Here is a 22,454-nt window from a genome sequence, read left to right on the forward strand (position 1 = left end):
CTGTATAAGAGAAATGCTTGTTTCTGCCAAATGAGTCCCATGAGCACAGCTGAGATTGTTCAGAATTATCTTCTACCTCAAAATTTGGTGTTCTTTCAATTTCCATAGCATTGCTTTGCAACTGATTGCCGTTTTCCTTGACCATCGTGAATTTAGCTGACATGAAATAGCTTTAAAATTTAGAATGAGAAACAATTACATTGATGTGTATTGAACTTCTTACATACAGTCTCTCTTTGTTTTATTGTGTGTAGTGTATTTGCATTAAAAACAAGATTTTTTTTTTTTTGTCCTTACAGATTATTCATCTACTCTAGGGGTTGGCTTTTACTTGACACCCTAATCTGGTGTTTCAATGTCTAAATCCTCTTTCCTGCATTAATTGAGAGGATGACATGGGTGAAAAATAAGCAGTAGGAACTGATGAATCCCCAAGGACCAGTGATCCTGTTTTTATGCAAATATCTGCACTGATAAAGATGATGGAAAGAAAAAAAATGCAAAAAATATTTGTCCTCAAAACATGATTGTTTGTCACTTCCCAAGAGCATTGTTAAATGTTAGTATAAAAATTATATGAACCTTCTAGGGCTGATAGTAACTAGGTTGTGTCTTTTGGAAGATGAGTGCTACCCTTTGAATTGGTACATGATTATGCCTCAGATAACCCTTTTGGTGTGCAAATTTTGGAATGCAGTAACTTTTCTTATAGGGATTTATAGTCTCTCAGATGATTGAGGCCTCTTGGCTTGATTTGGGCAGTTAATTTATATGAAATTCCCTTGAAATATATAGAAATATTTAAAAAAGTAAAACTCTGCCTTAGCATATGAAGAATTCCATTTCTATTATTTCCATCTGAGCTCAGAGTCCTCCCTCTTTTACTGGAACTATGTTACAGTCACCTTCTAGCTGGTCCCTCTGCCTCTCAACTAGCCCATTCCAATCTATCTTGTTACTGCTGCCGCATTGTTTTTGTGTTTGTTTTTTTGAGACAAGGTCTCTCATCCAGGCTGGAGTGCCATGGCCTTATCATGGCTCACTGCAGCCTCGAACTCCTGGGCTCAAGAGATCCTCCCACCTCAGCCTCCCAAGTAGCTGGGACTACAGGTGCAGTGCCACCATATCTGGCTAATTTTTTTGATATTTTGTAGAGACGAGGTCTCACTATGTTGCCCAGACTGGTCTTGAACTCCTGGGCTCAACCAGTCCTCCCTCCTTGGCCTCCCAAAGTGCTGAAATTACAGACATGAACCACCATGCCTACCCCAGCCTGATTTATTATTTATTTATTTGTTTATTTTTTGAGGCAGTGCCTTGCTTTGTCTCCCAGGCTGGAATGCAGTGGTGCAGTCTTGGCTCACTGCAACCTCCACCTCCCAGGCTCAAGTGATTCTTATGCTTCAGCCGTCCAAGTAGCTGAGATTACAGGTGTGCACCACCATGCCCAGCGTTTTAAAAATATTTTTAGCAGAGATGGGGTTTCACTATGTTGGCCAGGCTGGTCTCGAACTTCTGTCCTCAAGTGATTTGCCCGCCTGGCCTCCCAAAGTGCTGGGATTACAGGTGTGAGCCACCACGCCCGGCCCCGGCCTGATTTTTTGAAGTACATTTTCTTCTCTTTGTCTTTTGCTCATAAATCATTGGTACTACTTCATTACCCATAGGATAAAATTTAGGCCCCTTAGTGTGGCATTCAAAATCCTTTGCATTCTGACCCTCGCCGGATTACTCTAGCCTTCTTACATCTCCTCTACCAAAACACATGCACTGTCTCTGTCTGAAGCTTCGGGAAATTGTTCTTTTTCTGGGTAGTTGGTGTTTTAGTGATGAGACGTAATATTTGAAGGTCTTATTTCTGGAATGTCTTCTCTTATGACAGTGGATGGTCAACAGCACAGAATAAATACAGTGTGAAACTTGTTGATGATCGCTTGGTTTATCTTCTACTTGAACCCTACTCCATCACTATTATTACATGCTTATGATCCTGATTTAGACCTGTAAGTTTCAATACTACATTGCTTCCTTTATTCCTAAGGTTCATTATCATGAATCCTATTGAATACTAGTTCTCAGCAGTTTTTACCCTCTCTTTCTGGAATACTTCCCCATCTTCTTAGTTCTACTCATGCTATTCCTTTTTCTCGGTAAGCTGTCCTTCTATCAGCTTTCCCTTTTCATCCTTGATTTAGAAAGTGAGTGCTCTCTCTGGCCTCTCAAATTGCCCCTAGAGCAGTTTGTTTGTTTGATTTGTAAGGTGCTTTTACCATTCTTCTTGGAGATTTTTGGTACATGTCTCAGTCCTTGGACTGATTGTAACTTTTTAAGATAAGAATCATATTTTTACTTTTTCAGCCCATAGCCCATAGATTTTTTTCCCCATCTCTGAAGACCACAGACCAGTTAGTAGTCATGCAAATGACCTACTTACTAGCTATCTTTGAAATATTTTTAAATAAAATGTGAAAACTGGGAAAGCAGAGGATTGTATCATTTGAAACTACGGCTAAACCTTGGGACCCTGATACATTTGGTTTTTTTCTCTTTTTTTTGGGTAACAGCTTTATTGAGATGTAATTCACATAGTCTATAATTCCCCATTTATAGTGTGCAATTCAGTGATTTTTGTATATTCAGAATTTTGCAGTCACCACCACAACCAATTTTACAACATTTTCATCACCTGAAAAACCTTGCACCCATTAGCAGTCACTCCCCATTACTTCCCAAACTCCCCAGACCTAGGCTGTTACTTACTGGCTTCATGTCTCTATGGATTTGCCTCGTCTGGACATTGCTTGTAAATGAAATCATATAATATGTGGTTTCTTGTGACTGGATTCTTTCTGTTAAGATAATGTTTTCAGTGTTCAATTATGCTATAGCATGTATCAGTGCTTTCTTTCTTTTTATGGCTGAATAATATTCCATTGTATAGATACGCCACATTGTATTTATCTACCTGGTGATGGGCGTTTGAGTTGTTTTCACTACTTGGCTACTTCAAATAATGCTGCTGTGAACATTCAGGTTCAACCAAAACACACAACTTTTTGGGTAAACATGTTTTCATTTTCTTAGGTTTATAGCTAGAGGTGGAATTCCTGGGTCATGTGGTAACTCTATATCTGATCTATTGAGGAACTGTCAGACTGTTTTCCAAACTAGCTGAACCATTTTGCATTCCCACAAGCAGTGTATAAGGGTTCCAGTTTTCTCACACCCTTGCCAATACTTGTTATTTGTATTTTTTGTTTTTTTAATTATTATCATGTCCATCATAGAGGGTATGAAGTAGTGTCTCATTGTGGTTTGGATTTGCATTTGTCTAGTAATAATGGTGTTTAGCATGTTTTCATGTGCTTATTATATATCTTCTTTGGAGAACTATCAATTCAGATCCTTTGCTTATTTGTAAATTGTATTGTTTGTGTTTTTATTATTGAATTGTAAGACTTCATTATATATTCTAGAAACATATATATGTTATTATCACATATATGACATTATCAGATATATGACTTGCAAAAGTTTTCTCTCATTCTATGGGTTGTCTTTTTACTTTCTTAATGGTGTCCTTTGAATCACAAAGCTTTAAATTTTGATGAAATCCAATTTATCTATTTTGTTGTTGCTTGTGTTTTAGTGTCCTACCTGATAAACCATTGCCTAATCCAGGTTCTCAAAAACTTATGCCTGTGTTTTCTTTTAAGAGTTTTATAATTTTAGATTTAGGTCTTTGATTCATTTTAAGTTAATTTTTATATTTGGTGTGAGATAGGGATCTAAATTAATTCTTTCGCATGTGGATATCCAGTTTTCTTAGCATCGTTTGTTGAAAAGACTATCCTTTTTCTATTGAATTGTCTTGACATCCTTGTAAAAAATCAGTTGGCAGCCAGGCATGGTGGCTCACACCTGTAATCCCAGCACTTTGGGAGGCCAAGGTGGGAGAATTGCTTGAGCCCAGGAGTTTGAGACAAGCCTGGGCAACAAAGTGAGACTCCATCTCTACAAAAAGATTAAAAATTAGCCATACATGGTGATGTGCACCCATAGTCTCACCTACTCAGGAGGCTGAGCCTGGGAGGTTGAGGCTTCAGTGAACCATGATCACACCTCTGCACTCCAGCCTGGGCTATAGAGAGAGACCCTGCCTCAAAACAAAAAAAATTGGTTGGCCGTAAATGTGAAGGTTTATTTCTAGACTCTCATTCTATTCCATTGATGTAATCTCTATCCTTATGCCAGTAATTCACTTTCTTGCTTACTGTAGCTTTGTAGTAAATTTTGAAATTGGGATGTGTGAGCTTTCCAACATCAACAATGTTTTGCAATTTTCAAAGCACAAATATTATACTTCATTTGTTAAATTTTTTCCTAAGTACTTTATTCTTTTTGATGCTATTATAAATGGAATTGTTGTCTTAATTTCATTTTCAGTTTGCTCATTGCTACTACTGAGAAATAGAATTAATTTTTGTATATTGATCCTGTATTCTGCAACTTCGTTGAACTTATTTCTTTAGTTCTAATAATGTTTTAGTAGATTATTTATAATTTTCCATATACAGAATTGTCATTTGCAAAGAGAGACAGTTTTACTTCTTCATTTCCATTCTGACTGCCTTTAAATTAATTCTTTTTCCTAATTGTCCTGGCTAGAAATCCCAGTACAGTGTTGAATAGACGTGGCAGGAGTGGACATCCTTGACTTTTCCTGATCTTTGGGAGAAACCCACAGTGTTAGCTGTGGGCTTTTTGTAGATGTGCTTTAATGTAAATAAGGTAACACTGAATATATTACCTTCTAAAAAAGCTTTGAGGAATTTAGCTTACTTTGATATAAGTAGTTGCTTCTGCTGATTAATCATATAATTCTGTACGTTCATGTAGCAGTTTAATGGGACTGTTATTTGGCTAAATTTTATCACTGTTGTTTTTTAAAAGCAACATTTCACTGTAAAAAGATTGAGAGGGATGCCAAGCGGGGATGATTGCTTGAAGCCAAGTGTTTGTAACCAGCCTGGGCAACAAAACGAAGACTCCATTCTCTAAAAGAAAGACCCCATCTCTAAAAGAAAAAGATTAAGGCCAGTGTGGTGGCTCACGCTTGTAATCCTAGCACTTTGGGAGGCTGAGGTGGGCAGATAACCTGAGGTCAGGAGTTTGAGACCAGCCTGGCCAACATGGTAAAACCTTGTCTCTACAAAAATTAGCTGGGCATGGTGGCGCACGCCCATAGTCCCAGGTACTCAGGAGGCTGAGGCAGGAGAATCGCTTGAACCTGGGAGGCAGAGGTTGCAGTGAGCCGAGATTATGCCACTGCACTCCAGCCTGGGTGACAGAGCGAGACTCCATCTCAAAAAAAAAAGGAGGCCAGGCATGGTGCCTCACGCCTGCAATCCCAGCACTTTGGGATGCCAAGGCAGGCAGATCACGAGGTCAGGAGATCGAGACCATCCTGGCTAACACAGTGAAACCCCGTCTCTACTAAAAATACAAAAAAAGTTAGCCGGGCGTGGTGGTGGGCACCTGTAGTCCCAGCAACTTGGGAGGCTGAGGCAGGAGAATGGCATGAACCTGGGAGGTGGAGCTTGCAGTGAGCCGAGATCGCGCCACTGCACTCCAGCCTGGGTGACAGAGCGAGACTCCGTCTCAAAAAAAAAAAAAAGATTAAGATGTCTCCATTCAAAACTTAATACTTTATCCCATTAATCTACATTGATGAAGTTATCTATACAACTTTACTATTTGGTACTTTATTTGATGGTAGTAACTAAGAAAAACTGCTTTCAAGAAGCAGAAGTTTCCACAGCACTAGCCTGTGGTACTAGACTTCTCCACCCTCTGGGCATGTGATTTGCAAAAAAGTGATCATTTACATTTAGAAGTTGTTTCCCATCTAGATAAAATTCTAAACAGTTCTTTTGATTTGTAATTTTAATATATAAAGGAGGGAAGGGAGAGTATAACTGTGATTCTTACACCTTTTTGTTTTTTTGGAGACAGGGTCTCTGTTGCCCAGGCTAGAGTGCGGTGGTGCAGTCATAGCTCACTGCAGCCTTGACCTCCCAGGTTCAAGCAATCCTCCCAGCCCAGCCTCTCGAGTAGCTGGAACCACAGGACAGTGCCACCATGCCTGACTGATTTTTTTTTTTTTTTAATTTTTATTTTGTAGAGATGGGGTCTCCCTGTGTTGCCCAGGCTGGCCACATCCTCCTAGGCTCAAGCAATCCTCCCGCCTCAGCCTCCCAAAGCACTGGGATTATAGGTGTGAGCCACCATGCCCTGCCCCTGGTATTTATTTATTTATTTATTTATTTATTTATTTATTTATTTATTTTTGTGGGCTGACATCAGAATTATTTGTCTGGCTTCCCTTATTAGGCCAATTAAGTCCTACCTCTCATAGAACTAAATTAATAGTCCTTGACTGAGGAGAAAAATCATCTAGCCTTTAACCTCTAGATGGCAGCATGAGTCTTTCTGTACCACTAACAGAAAGACTACCCACATCTCTTGAACTGGATTTTTGATCTATGTAAAAACTTGTTGTGATTTTTTTTCTTTTTTTCTTTTTTTTTGTTTTGAGATGGAGTTTCGCTCTTGTCGCCCAGGCTGGAGTGCAATGGCGTGATCTCAGCTCACCGCAACCTCCGCCTCCGTGGTTCAAGCTATTCTCCTGCCTCAGCCTCCCGAGTAACTGGGATTACAGGCATACGCCACCACGCCAGGCTAATTTTGTATTTTTAGTAGAGATGGGGTTTCTCCATGTTGGTCAGGCTGGTCTTGAACTCCTGAACTCAGGTGATCCGCCCACCTCGGCCTCCCAAAGTTCTGGGATTACAGGCATGAGCCACAGCACCTGGCCCCTTCTTGTGATTTTTACCAGACTACTTGCCTAGCTTTGTTGATACCTTGTTGATTTTTATTTTTAGCTTTTTGTTTTTCTTTTTTATCTCTTCATCTTTTTTTACATATTTCCTTGTTTGTTTGTTTTTTTTTAAATTTTTTTTTGAGACAGGGTTTCCCTCTGTTGCCCAGGCTGGAGTGTAGCAGCACAATCTCGGCTCACTGCAACCTCTGCCTCCGGTTCAAGCGATTCTCCCACTTAGTAGAAAAAAATTCTAAAAATGTGGTTAATTCAATAGTTTTTATATCTGCATATAAGACCCTAAAAATGGGTTAAGTTCTCTTGTCTCAATACTTTCCCCTACCAGTGACTTATCTTGTATCCTTGGACTCTGTTGGTTTTCATGTGGTATCAGGCAATGCTCTATTACATTAAACAGGAATGTTAGCTAAAGTTGATGAAACTACATTGGACTAATTAGTCCTTCAAGAAAAATTTAATTGTTTTAAAATAAAGCTTTCAAATATTTAGCCATTTTGAATAACAAAAGAATGAAGTGTCCTGTTCAGCAACTGTTTGGGTGACTACTTCATACAAGGCTATGTAGGGGATAGGAAGATAATTACTGCCCTCTTGTAGATTAAAATCTAGTAGGAAAGGAAGATAAGACAACTAAGGTAAATGATTCTTAAAAAAATATAGAGGAGAAAAGCTCTATGAGAGTACAAAGAACTATATGGATGGGGGAGAAGAGGCAATTGCATTAGATTGCTACAGGAGTGGCAGATAAACTTCATTTTATTTAGTTAAGACCTGCCTAGGACCATTGAATTGAGAAAGATTTTGAGAGGGAGCCTAGATTCAGAGAAGGCAATTAGTGATGTCTGTTATAGACAAGGGAAATGAGTATGGTAATATTTGCAATTTCTGGAACATTGGAAATAAACCTGGCCAGGTGCGGTGGCTCACGCCTGTAATCCCAGCACTTTGGAAGGCTGAGTTGGGTGATCACCTGAGGCCAGGAGTTTGAGACCAGCCTGGCCAACATGGTGAAACCCCGCCTCTACTAAAAATACACAAATTAGCCAGGCGTGGTGGCGGGCGCCTGTAATCTCAGCTACCCGGGATGCTGAGGCAGGAGAATGACTTGAATCTGGGAGGCAGAGGTTGCGGTGAACTGAGATGATGCCACTGCATTCCAGCCTGGGCAACAGAGCAAGACTCTGTCTCAAAAAAAAGGAAGGAAGGAAAGAAAGAAAACCTTAAAGAACACAAAGATGGGTAGAAATGGAAAGGGAGCATATTCTAGGTAGAGTGAATGTTAAAGAGTTTGAAAGCAACAGCTCTGCTCAAGGAACGGTGCGAGTGGTTGAATCTAGACCCCAGGTTATGTTAGGTCTCATAATGACTAAGACTAGGAAGGAGATAGAGGGGCCAGACTGAGGAGGGCCTTGAACTCCAGGGGTCAAGGAGTTATTCTCAGTGGTAGTAGGGAGCATGTGAAATGTTCTTTAAAAAGTATCTTAATGCTGTCAAATTAACTGTGTGTGTTGTAGATGGTTTGGGGAGACCCTTTACTAAAAGAGATTTTACTACAATTTTTTTTATTGTAAAAATAAAGAAGAAAGTAAAAAAAAGAAAACCACCAACAAACCATAGCCTTACCACTGAGAGATAACCACTATTAACATTTCATGTGTTTCCTGGCCCCACTTTTAGTCCCTTTATGTGTCTATGTGTGTGTTTATATGTATACTTGCATCCATTCATGTACCATGTACACAGATAATGCTATTTTTCTTTCTTTTCTTTTTTTTTTCTTTTCTTTTCTTTTTTTGAGACAGGGTCTCCCTCTGTCACCCAGGCTGGAGTGCAATGGTGTGATCTTGGCTCACTGCAACCCCTACCTCCCGGGCTCAAGCAAGTCCCCCACCTCAGCTTCCCAAGTAGCTGGGACTACAGGTGTGAGCCACAGCGCCCGGCCAGAAATGCTTTTTTAATATAACTGAGATTAGTGTGTGTGTGTGTGTGTGTGTGTGTGTGTGTGTGTGTAGTTTTAACTTGTGCTTTAAAAAATTTTATTCTATCTTAAGCATTTTCCTGTGTCATTAAAAGTTCTACCACTGAAGATTTTTGAATAGGAAAGATACACACCTTTAGGAGGCATTGGTGCACAGGATAGAGTAGGATGGTAGAGAGAGGAGGCAGGAAGTTACAGTGGGAATCCAGGGTGAAGGATTGAGAGCTTGAATGGATGATGGCAGTGAGAATGGGAAGAAGTGCACTGACAATAGATTTTTCAGATTTGGAATTTTTAGGAGTAGGTAAATGTCTGGATGGGGATGTTACGGGATAAGCTGAAATTAGAGCTTACCATGATGTTTTAGCCTAATTAATGACAGGGAAGTCAGAAGGAGGCTAGATGCCTGCTTAACAACAACAACAACAACAAAAATCACATAATTCTTTTACTTGCTCCTTTGTAGGCAGGCATCTTTATTTTCTTAGAAATAAGTAAATGTCATTTGTAGAGGCTAGAGGTTAGTGTTATTAATAAGATATCTAGTTCAGTCATATTACCTAGGCAACAGGTAATGTTTTAGATAGTGAATGGTGAGTTATTTGATCTCAAAGAAATCAATATGTGAAATAGGATGTACATAACTTCAGAAGTTGACTTGTGAAGTCCCTATTTTCTTTGGCTGGTCATTAGGCTGCTAAGTAGAATGACTGACTTTTGTATGGTTTTCTTCCACAATAGTGCTTTTTCTTTCGGTTCCCTACCTATGAACTTTTCCTGAACTTTCCTACAAGTTTAAAAAGTTGTTATGGCCTCTCTATACAGTAGACATCCAATTCTTTGTTAACTGGAAAAAAGTTTCAGAAGTTTAAATTTGAAGTAACAGGAATTGGTCCAAAATATTTGTTGTTGCTCATGTTTTAAATAAGCGACATTGGATTATATCAGCACTGGGATAATTCCCATTAGGTATTATGACTGCAATTTACATGCAATTGGAAATTAGTGATTGAGAGGGAAACAGATTGCCAAATTATCTTCCAAAAAGGTACTCCCCACTCCATATCCTTGCTAATAACAAGTATTATAATTATTTAAAGTCATTGCCAACTTGATAGGCAAAATATTGTCTTGTTCTAATGTTCATTTCTTCTATTGTGAAGGCGAACTTTTTTTTTCCATGTTTCTTGATCCTATCTGTTGATGAGGGCTGGAAGTTCAAGAAAGTATAAATTTAAATTATTTTAACCTGAAAAATAAAGCCAGAGAACTTGATTGAAAAGCACCCCAAAGACTGTGTTGAAATCTGCATTGCAAATACTGATGGAAACTTATCCTTGTTTTCTTTGTTTTATGCATTACTTTACCATCTTGCCATAGTCATTAGCTTTGCACCTATTTAGGTTACAGCATAAAATCTAGGAACTCCACTTTGAAGGGATCATGGTTATTCTTAATTAGAAATTGTCAATTTAGCCTTAAGTATTTTATTTTTTGAAATGTTTTATGATAATGTGAAGTAAACCATGCCATTATTTCTCATTTTTCCCTTGGTTAACAAATTAGGATATACAAATCTTCAAATTACCTTTAAGGCTTGTAAACATTCAAATCTTTTATCCGTTAGTCAAGTTATTTCATAAACCCAACATTGCCTCTGAAATGGCTTTACACACAAAGAGGATTTTACCATAAAATGCTTGTGGTGTTTCATTCTCTTCTGATTTTTTGTAGGGGAAGGGGGTTGGAGAGTAGGCAGAGTATAAATTAATTTGGATGGTGTTGGTTTCAAAGTAGCATTCCATGTAATTCTGCAGAAAGTGTGATAAATAAGAAAATGGGCCAGGCATGGTGGCTCATGCCATAATCCCAGCACTTTGGGAGGCCAAGGTGGGCAGATCACCTGAGATTGGGAGTTTGAGACCACCCTGGCCAACATGGTGAAACCCTGTCTCTACTAAAAATACAAAAATTAACCGGGTGTGGTGGCACATGCCTGTGGTCTCAGCTACTGGGGAGACTGAGGCATGAGAATCGCTTGAACACAGGAGGTGGAGGTTGTAGTGGGCCAAGATTAAGCCACTGCACTCCAGCCTGGGCAACAGAGTGAGACTCTGTCTCAAAAAATAAAAAATAAAAAAAATACATAATAAAACAAAGTTCAACATTTGGGAAATACCAGGTGAATTATAGTGTTACCCATACAGTAGAATACAATGTGGTCATTAAAAAACATTAAAGGGGCTGGCCACTGTGGCTTACGCCTGTAATCCCAGCACTTTGAGAGGCTGAGGTAGGCGGATCATTTGAGATCAGGAGTTCGAGACCAGCCTGGCCAAGCTGGTGAAACCCCGTCTCTACTAAAAATACAAAAATTAGTCACTCGTAGTGGTGGACACCTGTAATCCCAGCTACTCTGGAGGCTGAAGCAGGAGAATCACTTGAACCTGGGAGGTGGAGCTTGCAGTGAGCTGCCAAGATTGTGCCACTGCACTCCAGCCTGGGTGACAGAGTAAGACTATGTCTCTAAAAAAAAAAAAAAGAAAAGAAAAAAAGCACTAAAGGGCATTTCATGACAGAAAGGTATTCATTATATATAAGGATAATAGCAAGTGACAAAATGCAGAACATACAATTTTACAGCAGGTGTTTTTTTTTTTTTTTCTTTTGAGAGCATGGACATAGACAAATGGCTGGAAGGAAATACACCAGTATGTTTTAATGACTATCTTGAGTGGTTTTTAAAATTTTCTGAATTTTCCAAATTAACAAAAACACATTCTAGTCTGTTGAATAGGAAAAAAATACTACTTAAAAAAATAAGGAAAAGTTGTATGCCATTTTAGAAACAAAATTGTACTTAAATCTCTGAATTTTCTAGGCAGTTAAATTTTTGAGCTCTTCTGTGGACTGTTTCTAAATAAAAATGAGTAGATCCATTAACAATTGATCAGTTTATACAAGTGATAAATAGCAAGGTGAATGTTTCCCATACATATCTCATTTCCCATACTCAGGATGTGCTTGCATAAGTAGGAATTGAGAGCAAAAGAAATGGTAGGCTGTTGGGTCATGGGCAAGAGACGATTTAGTTGGCCAAAGAAGCATATTTTCTTAAGCAAATGTTGGCCAAGATGTTACTTTATGTTTTCGGGCTGTCTTCACTGTAGTTGGAGAACTGTGAACTCTTGGTATTAAGTACTCAGTAGGAGCAAAGAACCATTTGGAATGTCTGTCAATCTTAAATAGAACTGCAGCTGTTTGGCTGAGAGGTGAAATGGACCTGGATTTCTTTTTTTTGGCGGGGGGGCTTTGAAAGTAGTTTTTGTATAACAAAGAGGTGATGAGAACTAAAGTGATTACAAAAGTGTTCATAGGAGTTCAGTTTCTTTCCAGGCTTTGGGTTTAAGAATGACTGTTTCTGCCCATGGGGAAATAAATTGGCATTTTTCTGCTTTCGTTTGTTTTTTAGTTATTGATGTTCTAGAAATTTCAACAAAATAAGGAGTGTTTTTGTATTTCAAATGTAGTGCCCGTTTCTTTATTTCTTTCTGGTACTTTCCACTGGTTTGTGTTGATAATATGATCTGGAAGGTAGCGATAATGCATGGGAATTTATAAATGATCACAAAATACTTTGTCACAGGAAATCTGGAGAAATAATGACTTTGGCATATGTATAAGAGAAGTATCTCTAACTGTTAAGTCTAAACTAAAAGCTTGTTACTTTTCGGTTTGGTATAACCAAAAAAAATTTGAAAAATAAAATAGAAGTAATGATTTGTTTTCTCAGGTGTAGTTGTATTTGACTGACTCTATTGTAGGAGGACACGTTTAAGACTGAATGGTTGGATAACGGTAAAGACGTCCTTTCAATGGAGAGTTGAATCTGATAGGTTGAAGTTTTGGATATTGAATGAAAAGAGAAAAGAGAGCCGGACAAGCTGAAAATTCCTGTAGTTCCAACTACTGGGGAGGCTGAGGTGGGAGGATCACCTGAGCCCAGGAGTTTGAGACTGCAGTGAGCTATGATCATGCCACTGCGTTCCAGTCTGGATGACAGAGTGAGACCCTGTGTCAAAAAATAAGTAAATAAAAAGAGGAAAGAGCTAAAATGAGAATTCAATCTGATTCAGAATATAAAAATATTCTACTGTCCCATCATTTTTTGTTCTTTAATAAGCTTTAACATTGAAGTATAATGTATATAAAGAAAAGCACACAAATTATAATGTACAACTCAATGATTTTCATAAAATTAACACTCCCCTGTAACCGTTGGTCAAAACAGATCAAGATACAGAACGTTGCGCCTGGTGCTGTGGCTCATGCCTGTGATCCCAGCACTTTGGGAGGCTGAGGCTGGCAGATCACTTGAGCTCAGGAATTCCAGACCAGCCTGGGCAACATGATAAAATCCAGTGTCTACAAAAAATACAAAAATTAGCCGGGCCTGCTGGTGTACACCTGTAGTCCCAGCTACTTGGGAGGCTGAGGTGGGAGGATCACCTGAACCTGGGAAGTCAAGGCTGGAGTGAACCAAGATCACACCATTGTACTCCAGCCTGGGTGACAGGAGTGAGACCCTATCTCAAAACAAAACACCTTTCTAGTACATAAATACAAAATCTCCTTTGTGCCCCTTCTAGTCCCTACTTGCCCCTTCCTCTCAAAGCATTACTGTGACTTATACTATCATAGAATAATTTTGTTTATCTTTGAACTTTATGTAAATGGAATAACAAATCACATACTCTTTTGTGTCTGACTTTTGATCAGCGTTTAAATTATGACATCGGCCATATCATTTGGGTTTTCTCCCATTGCTATATAGTATTTCATTGTAAGAAGTTACCACAATTTATTTCCTCGTTCTACTAATGATGGATATTTGGACTATTTCCAGCTTTTGGTTATTACAAATAAATACTGTTAGTATTTTTGATATATATCTTTTTTTGGTACATGGATTTTCTTTCTTTTTTTTTTTTTTTTTTTGAGACAGAGTCTTGCTCTGTTGCCCAGGCTGGAGTGCAGTGGCACCATCTTGGCTCACTGCAAGCTCCGCCTCCTGGGTTCATGCCATTCTCCTGCCTCAGCCTCCCGAATAGCTAGGACTACAGGCGCCCCCCCACCACGCCCAGCTAATTTTTTTTGTATTTTTAGTAGAGACAGGGTTTCACTGTGTTAGCTAGGATGGTCTCGATCTCCTGACCTCGTGATCCGCCCGCCTTGGCCTCCCAAAATGCTGGGATTACAGGCATGAGCCGCCGCACCTGGGCCGTACATGCATTTTCATTGGATATATAACTAGGAAGTGGAATTGCTAGATCATAGGGGTATATGTATATTTAGCTTTAGTAGGTACTTCCAAATATTAATAGTTTTCCAAAGTGGTTATATCAATTTACAAACCTATCAGCAATTTCAGTTGCTCCAAGTCCTTACCAACAGGTGTATTCTCAGTCTTTTAACTTCTAGTCGTTCTAATAAATGGTATCTTAATGTGGTTTTAATTTGCATTTCCTTAATGACTAATGAGGTTGAGCACCTTTTTGTATGTTTATTGGCCATTTGGATAACATCTTTTGTGAAGTCCTTATTAGTGTCTCTTGCCCATTGCCCATCTTTAAAAACTGGATTACTGGATTATTCTTTTTTTTTTTTTTTTTAGATGGAGTTTCACTCTTGTCGCCCAGGCTGGAGTGCAATGGCACGATCTCAGCTCACTGCAATGTCTACCTCCTGGGTTCAAGCGATTCTCCTGCCTCAGCCTCCCAAGTAGCTGGAATTACAGGTGCACGCTACCACGTGTGCCTAATTTTTGTATTTTTAGTAAAGATGGAGTTTCACCATGTTGGCCAGGCTGGTCTCAAACTCATGACCTCGGGTGATCCGCCTGCCTCGGCCTCCCAAAGTGCTGGGATTACAGACATGAGCCACTGAGCCTGGCTTGGATTATCAGTCTTTAAAAAAATGATTTGTAAGTACTGTTTATATATTCTGGATATCCACCCTTTGTCAGTCACATAAATTGCAAATATTCCACTTTGTAGCTTCCCTTTTAATTTTCTTAATGGTATGTTTTAATGAACCAAAGAGTTTTTTCCCCCAACTTTTTATTTGTTGAAATTTGAAATCTTTAAAAAAGTTTTGGCCAGGCGCAGTGGCTCATACCTGTAATCCCAGCACTTCGGGAGGCCAAGGCCGGTGGATCACCTAAGGTCAAGAGTTCGAGACCAGCCTGACCAATATGGTGAAACACTGTCTCTACTAAAAATACAAAAAGTAGGCCAGGCGTGGTAGCTCACACCTGTAATCCCAGCACTTTGGGAGGCCGAGGTGGGCAGATCACCTGAGGTCAGGAGTTCGAGACCATCCTGGCCAGCATTGTGAAACCCCGTCTCTACTAAAAATACAAAAATTAGCCGGGCTTGGTGGTGGGTGCCTGTAATCCCAGCTACTCGGGAGGTTGAGGCAGGAGAATCGCTTGAACCTGGGAGGCGGAGGTTTCAGTGAGCCGAGATCGTGCCATTGCACTCCAGCCTGGGCAACAGAGTGAGACTCCCTCTCAAAAAAAAAAAAAAAAAATTAGCTGGGCTTGGTGGCGTGCGCCTGTAGTCCCAGCTACTCAGGAGGCTGAGACAGGAGAATCACTTGAACCCAGGAGGAGGAGGTTGCAGTGAGCCACTGCATTCCAGCCTGGGCAACAGAGCGAGACTCTGTCTCAAGAAAAAAAAAAGTTTCAAGCCAGGCTCAGTGGTATGCACCTGTAGTTTCAGCTACTCTGGATGCTGAGGTGGGAGGATCATTTGAGCCCAGAAGTTTGAGTCCAGCCTAGGTAACACAGGGAGACTCTGTCTCAAAGAAAGAAAAAAAGCTTAAAACTATTCCAAAAAAAACCATGTAGTAGGCACAAGTATTTCTAAAAATAAACTATACACAGTAGATTTTCCCCTTGGAGTCAAGTTGTAAATTCTATCAGCAGAGCATTGACCTAAATCATTATAACCCAACAGAAATCAGTGGCTCCCATATAATTCCCAGAGGTTTCCCTGTCCCCACCCAAACAACTTTTCTCTATTCAGCAATTCTCCATTGCTTAGATCTGCTGTTTCCATTCTATATTATTGATTTACTCTATATTTCTTATACCACTAGCCATAATGATTTTCATGCATGTAACAAACAGATTTCATCTATTGATTTCATAAGTAAGTGATGCAAGTTTTAATGACTAATGTGAGACTAACATTTTCCTTATTCGTTCCTTTCCAATTCTAAGATACTTTAATGCATCAACTGAATAGTGAAGTCATTATTGCAAATGCTTTTATCACATAGTGCCGAAGTTAGTTAGCAAATAGTTAAAGAAAATAGTTAAAGATGCTTTGGTTTTTCCAGGAAAGTGGTTTTCCAAAAATTTTCAAATAATGATGGTAATACATTAAAAAATATATCACTCAACAAGTTTGTCAGAAAACTTACACATCAAATCAAGAAAACAGTGAGTTAAGGAAAGAGGAAAACACACCTTCACTTTCTTTTTTTTTTTTTTTTAAGACGGAGTCTCACTCCGTCACCCAGGCTGGGGTGCAGTGGCGCCATCTCAACTCACTGGAACCTCTGCCTCCCGGGTTCAAGTGATTATCCTGCCTCAGCCTCCCGAATAGCTGGGATTACAGGCGCGCACACCACGCGTGGCTAATTTTTGGATTTTTAGTGGAGACGGGGTTTCACCATGTTGGACAGGCTGGTCTCAAACACACCTTCACTTTCTCCACTGGAATTTTTGTTTATCATGTAACCAGTAACAATATTCTCATATTCCCATGAGAAGAGGTTGAGGAAGAAAAGAATTCACACTAGTAATGTAGTATTTTATTTCTGAGATGCTACAGCTTTGACATTATTATAACCCAAATTAAAAGAACAGGAGTGTCATTAACCAAAAAGGAGAATATTGCTAAACGGAACTGTAGTAAAATTTAAAACTTATGTTCAAATTGGAGATATTTTATTATGGATTGAAAATCAGATAATTGTATTGTGTTAAATTTTTTGAGTTTGTTAATTATATTGTAGCTATGTAGGAGAATATCCTTGTTCTTAGGAGACAATGCTGAAGTATTTAGGGATGAACTATCATGGTGTCTGCAGCTAGCTCTCAGATAGCTCAGGAATAAAACAACAAAATTTAAAAATATAAATAGATGAAGCAAGTGTGTAATGTTAACAGTTGGTGAGCAGGTGAAGAGTATATGATTATTCATTGTAGTATTCTTTGTTTCTATTTTATTTAAAATATGTTAGGATATTTTAGGCTCTAGAAAATTTCACTGGACACTTGTGAGAGTATGAGTGAAAAGAGCATCTTAGTATTATACAAATAATTTTTACCTGTCCGGGTGCAGTGGCTCACACCTGTAATCCCAGTACTTTGGGAGGCCAAGATGGGCAGATCACTTGAGGTCAGGAGTTTGAGATCAGCCTGACCAACATGGTGAAACCCTGTCTCTACTAAAAATATAAAAATTAGCTGGGTATGGTGGCAGGCACCTGTAATCCCAAATACTTGGGAGGCTGAGGCAGGAGAATTGCTTGAACCTGGGAGGCAGAGGTTGCAGTGAGCCAAGATCATGTGCTACGGCACTCCAGCCTGGGTGACAGAGTGAGACTCTGTCTCAAAAAAACAAAACAAACAAACAAAAACAAAAACAAAAACCAGTTTTGACCTAGTGGACCCCCAAAAGAAGTATGGCGAGCCCAGGATCTGCAGGTGTTCCCTGACCACACTTTGAGATTTGTTGCCTTAGAGTATTATTTTGATGATTTGATACAGCCTTATTTATAAAACTCTTAGCTCACTGTCTGGATCTTAATAAGTTCTTAAAAACTATTAACTGTTGTTACTCTTATGAGCAGCATATGAGAAATTTTAAGCATGGTAGACATCTGATCATATTTACATTCTTAGGTCACTTTGCTAACATGGTAGAAGGTAGATTGGTGAGGAATGAAAATAGCAACAGGGAGATGAGTTAGATTACTTTAGTAAACTAGACTACAATGGTAAGCCCTTGAACTAAGACAGTAGAAATATTACTGGAGCATAAAGGATGGGTTCTATAAATCCTAGTAGGAGAATGGAAAGTTTTAGTGACTGATTGGATATATTGGGATTGGGAAGTCCTGGGCAGTAAGAATGAGGAACCAAGAACAATTCTTAGGTTTCTAGCTTAGGTGTATATAGGAAGAAGAAGACCTTTGAGAAGAAAGATTTGGGAGTTCATTTATAAGTGTATCTGTAGGCTATCTAGGTGGAAATAAATACCTAGGAGACAATTGAATAGATACTAGAGCACAGGGAATTTGGATCCTTGATCCATAGGTTTTATTTAAAGCCATAGATGAGAGAAGCCAGGAGGATGTGTAGCATTAAATATAGAACCGTGGTGTGGTAGGCACCCTCTAAGACGGTCCCCAGTGATCCCTGCTACTAGTGTGCCCTTGTTTAATCATCTCTTGAGGGTGGGCTGGACCTAATGATAGTAAAAGTGATGGAATCCCACTTCTGAGATTAAGTTACCAAAAGACCATGGCTTCTGTTCTCCCCTTCATCCCCCAGAGAAGCACATTGCCATGTGAGTATAAAGAAAACTAGCCTGGGATTTCAGAGATCCTGGTTATTGGAAGTAGATCTGTTCTACTTACTGACTTGATAAATAACCTCTCTCTGAGTTTCATTTTCCTTTTCTGTGAAATTAAGGTAATAATAATGCCTCTTAATGAGCTGTTGAGAGAGTTAAATTGGATGATGATTATAAAATGCTTAGTATGAGTCTTCATGATCTTGGATTTGGCCATGGATTTTTATTTATTTATTTTTTTTACAAGATGATCATGGACTTTATTCATTTCCAAATTGTAATGTTCAGATATGTTACTGGAATCAAAAAAGAATTGAGCTAGGTTCCTGGAAACAAAATAAATAGACTAACCAAATTCTATATCCAAGACAAACAGAAAAAAAGAAATTAAAAATACCATCTAAGATGTCAGACAGTAATAAAGATGTAGTACATCTACAGAATGATGTATGTAAGATCTCTATAGTTATACAATAACACTTCATGGAGAGCCTTTGTAAAAGACCAAATGAGTGAATATGAATAAATACTGTAAGTAGATTAGAAAGCTCAGTATCTTAAAGATTCAGTTTCTCCCAGAAACATTCGTGAATTTAATATAATTCAAATTACAATCCCCCAAAATTTCTTGAAACTTGAAAGTTCATTTTAAAATTTTATAGAAAATCAAAGAGCCAGTAAAAGCTAAGAGGCTCCTGGGTAGGTGTAGTGGCTCATGCCTGTAACCCTAGCCCTTTGGAAGGCTGAGGTGGGAGGATTGCTTGAGCTCAGGAGTTTGAGACCAGCCTGGGCAACATGATGAAACCCCATCTCTGCAAAAAATGCAAAATTAGCTGGGCATGGTGATGTGCACCTATAATCCCAGCTACTCAGTGGGGCTGAGGTCAGAGAATCACTTGAGCCTGGGAGGTGGAGGTTGCAGTGAGCCAAGATTGCACCACTGCACCCCAGCCTGGGTGACAGAGCAAGACCCTGTCTCAAAAAAAAAAAAAAAAAAAAAAAGCTGAGAGGCTCTTGATAAAGAAGTGACCATGGGTTTAGATATGATGCCAAAAGCACAAACAACAAAAGGAGACATAGGTAAGTTGAACTTCATTAAAATTAAAAACTTTTGTGTGTCCAAGGGCATTATCAATAAAGCAAAAAGACAACCAACAGAATGGGAGAAAAGTTTTGCAAATTATATTTCTGATAAGGGGCCAGTATCCAGAATAAATAAAGAACTCTTAGAACTCAACAACAAAAAAACAGCCCAATTAAGAAATTAGCATGTTTTATAATCCTCTGGGTATATACCCAGTAATGGGATGGCTGGGTCAAATGGTATTTCTAGTTCTAGATCCCTGAGGAATCACCACACTGACTTCCACAATGGTTGAACTAGTTTACAGTCCCACCAACAGTGTAAAAGTGTTCCTATTTCTCCACATCCTCTCCAGCACCTGTTGTTTCCTGACTTTTTAGTGATTGCCATTCTAACTGGTGTGAGATGGTATCTCATTTGTGGTTTTGATTTGCATTTCTCTGATGGCCAGTGATGATGAGCATTTTTTCATGTGTCTTTTGCCTGCATAAATGTCTTCTTTTGAGAAGTGTCTGTTCATATCCTTCGCCCACTTTTTGATGGGGTTGTTTGTTTTTTTCTTGTAAATTTGTTTGAGTTCATTGTAGATTCTGGATATTCGCCCTTTGTCAGACGAGTAGATTGCAAAAATTTTCTCCCATTGTGTAGGTTGCCTTTAAAGACACATTCACATGTATGTTTATTGCGGCACTATTCACAATAGCAAAGACTTGGAACCAACCCAAATGTCCAACAATGATAGACTGGATTAAGAAAATGTGGCACATATTCACCCTGGAATACTATGCAGCCATGAAAAATGATGAGTTCATGTCCTTTGTAGGGACATGGATGAAGCTGGAAACCATCTTTCTCAGCAAACTATCACAAGGATAAAAAACCAAACACCGCATGTTCTCACTCATAGGTGGGAATTGAACAATGAGAACACATGGACACAGGAAGGGGAACATCACACACCGGGGCCTGTTGTGGGGTGGGGGGAGGGGGGAGGGATAGTATTAGGAGATATACCTAATGTTAAATGATGAGTTAATGGGTGCAGCACACCAACATGGCACATGTATACATATGTAACTAACCTGCACGTTGTGCACATGTACCCTAAAACTTAAAGTATTAAAAAAAAAAAAAAGAAATGAGCAAAGGACTTGACTAGACATTGCTCCAAAGAAGAAATACAAATGGCTAACAAGCACATGCAAAGATACTCAACATCATTAGTCGTTAGGGAAATCCAAATCAAAACCAGGGTGATACCACTTTATACCCTCTAGGATGGCTATAATTAAAGAAACCCCAAAACAAAAACAGAAAGTAACAGGTATTGGCAAGGATATGGTGAAATTAGAACCTTCATACATTGCTGGTGGCTATGTAAAATGGTATACTCCCTGTGGGAAACTGGTATTTCTTCAAAAGGTTAAAAGGTAGAATTGCCATATGCCCAGCAATTCCATTGCTAGGTTTATACCCAAAAGAATTGAAAACAGGTACTCAAACAAATGCTTCTACACAAATGTTCACATCAGTACTATTCACAAGAGCCAAAAGGTAGAAACAACCCAAGTGTCCATCAACAGATGAATGAATAAACAAAATGTGGTATATCCATACAGTGGAATATTATTCAGCCATTCAAATGAATGAAGTACTGATGCTACAACATATAAATAAATCTTCAAAATATTATACTATATGAAGGCAGTTAGACACAAAAGGACACATAATGTGTGATTTCATTTACATGAAACATCTAGGGTAGGTAGATCCAGAAGACATGAAAAGGCAGATTGGTGGTTCCCAGGGCCTAGAGAAAGTGTGGAATGGGGAGTGACTACTTTATGGATTTGGGATTTTTGTGGGGAAGGTGAAAATGTTTTGGAACTTGATACAAGTGGTGATTGCACAACATTGTGAATGCACTAAATGCCACTGAATTGTATACTTCAAAAATGTGAATTTCACCTCAATCAAAAACTAGCTAGTATGGTGTTTGACACCTAGCAAGCTACCAATAAATTTAAAATATTATTACATAGTGTCACCTTTATCAGAAATTTAGCTTCGTGACCTTGGTCATCAATTTCCTGAGCTGAAAAAATGAAGTTGTTGGAATAGAAGACCTCTAAGGTCCTTACAGCATTAAAATTCTACTATATTAAGGCCTAGTGTTTCTAATTCATACAGTTAATATTTATTATGTAACTTCAGAGTACTATGCTAGGCAGCAAGGACTTAGCAGTAAATAAGACAGATATAGTTCCTGCTGTCATAAAGCTAACATTCTAGTAGATAAGGCCTTACACAAATAATTATTTGCTGAGATATTGTTCTAAGTACAATGTGGGACAAGGCCTAAGAGGGCAGGGATGGGTCTCCTGAGAAAAAGATATTTCGGTATGAAGAATGAGTAGGAGTTAACTGGGTGGAGAGAACGGAGATGAGCTTTCAGAAGGGAACAGCAAAGTCTGGTAGTGGGAAGGTGCACAGTGTCTTTGAAGAACTGAAAGAAGACTAATATGAATTCAGACAGTGACTGGTGAGATAGACAGGTTGGCTCATGTGAGATTTCTTAGGTTTACTAAGGATTTTGGGTATTATACTGAGAGCACTGGGAAGCCACTGAAAGGCTTTAAGCAAACAATATTCAGTTTCTGATCATGTAAAAAATGGTTTGCAGGAAGGCAAGTGAGGAACTAGGGAAATAAAGTAGGAAGTCATTGCAATAGCTAAGACTGCTGCCTGGAACTAGGGTACTGGTAGTGGACATGGAGAGAAGTAGTTAATTTGAGAATGACTTAGGACACAGAATAAGTCTTTTTTTAAACTTAATTTTTT

General features: G+C 38.9%; 1 protein-coding gene and 1 long non-coding RNA gene across 8 annotated transcripts in view; one reads left to right on the top strand and one right to left on the bottom strand.

Annotated features, from left to right (window-relative positions):
- LIN52 (lin-52 DREAM MuvB core complex component) overlaps nucleotides 1-22,454 on the top strand; it is a 116,538-nt gene that overhangs the window by 20,347 nt on the left and 73,737 nt on the right. For 2 of the 7 annotated variants that reach the window (NM_001372005.1, XM_047431916.1), the window contains exon 6: nucleotides 8,704-12,994. The exons of 3 other annotated variants lie outside the window; for them this stretch is intronic. In NM_001372005.1, the coding sequence (NP_001358934.1) occupies nucleotides 8,704-8,864 (161 nt within the window). In that variant the 3' untranslated portion in view covers nucleotides 8,865-12,994. Of the gene's footprint in view, nucleotides 1-299; nucleotides 1,926-8,703; nucleotides 12,995-22,454 lie in introns of those variants that run through there. 2 more of the 7 variants (XM_011537321.4, XM_047431917.1) reach the window with 1 other exon arrangement.
- The window catches only part of LOC105370563 (uncharacterized), a 45,899-nt gene that overhangs the window by 8,640 nt on the left and 14,805 nt on the right, over nucleotides 1-22,454 (bottom strand). The window lies entirely within an intron of this gene.

This window comes from Homo sapiens, chromosome 14, assembly GCF_000001405.40.
Source record: "Homo sapiens chromosome 14, GRCh38.p14 Primary Assembly".
Lineage (NCBI taxonomy): Eukaryota > Metazoa > Chordata > Mammalia > Primates > Hominidae > Homo > Homo sapiens.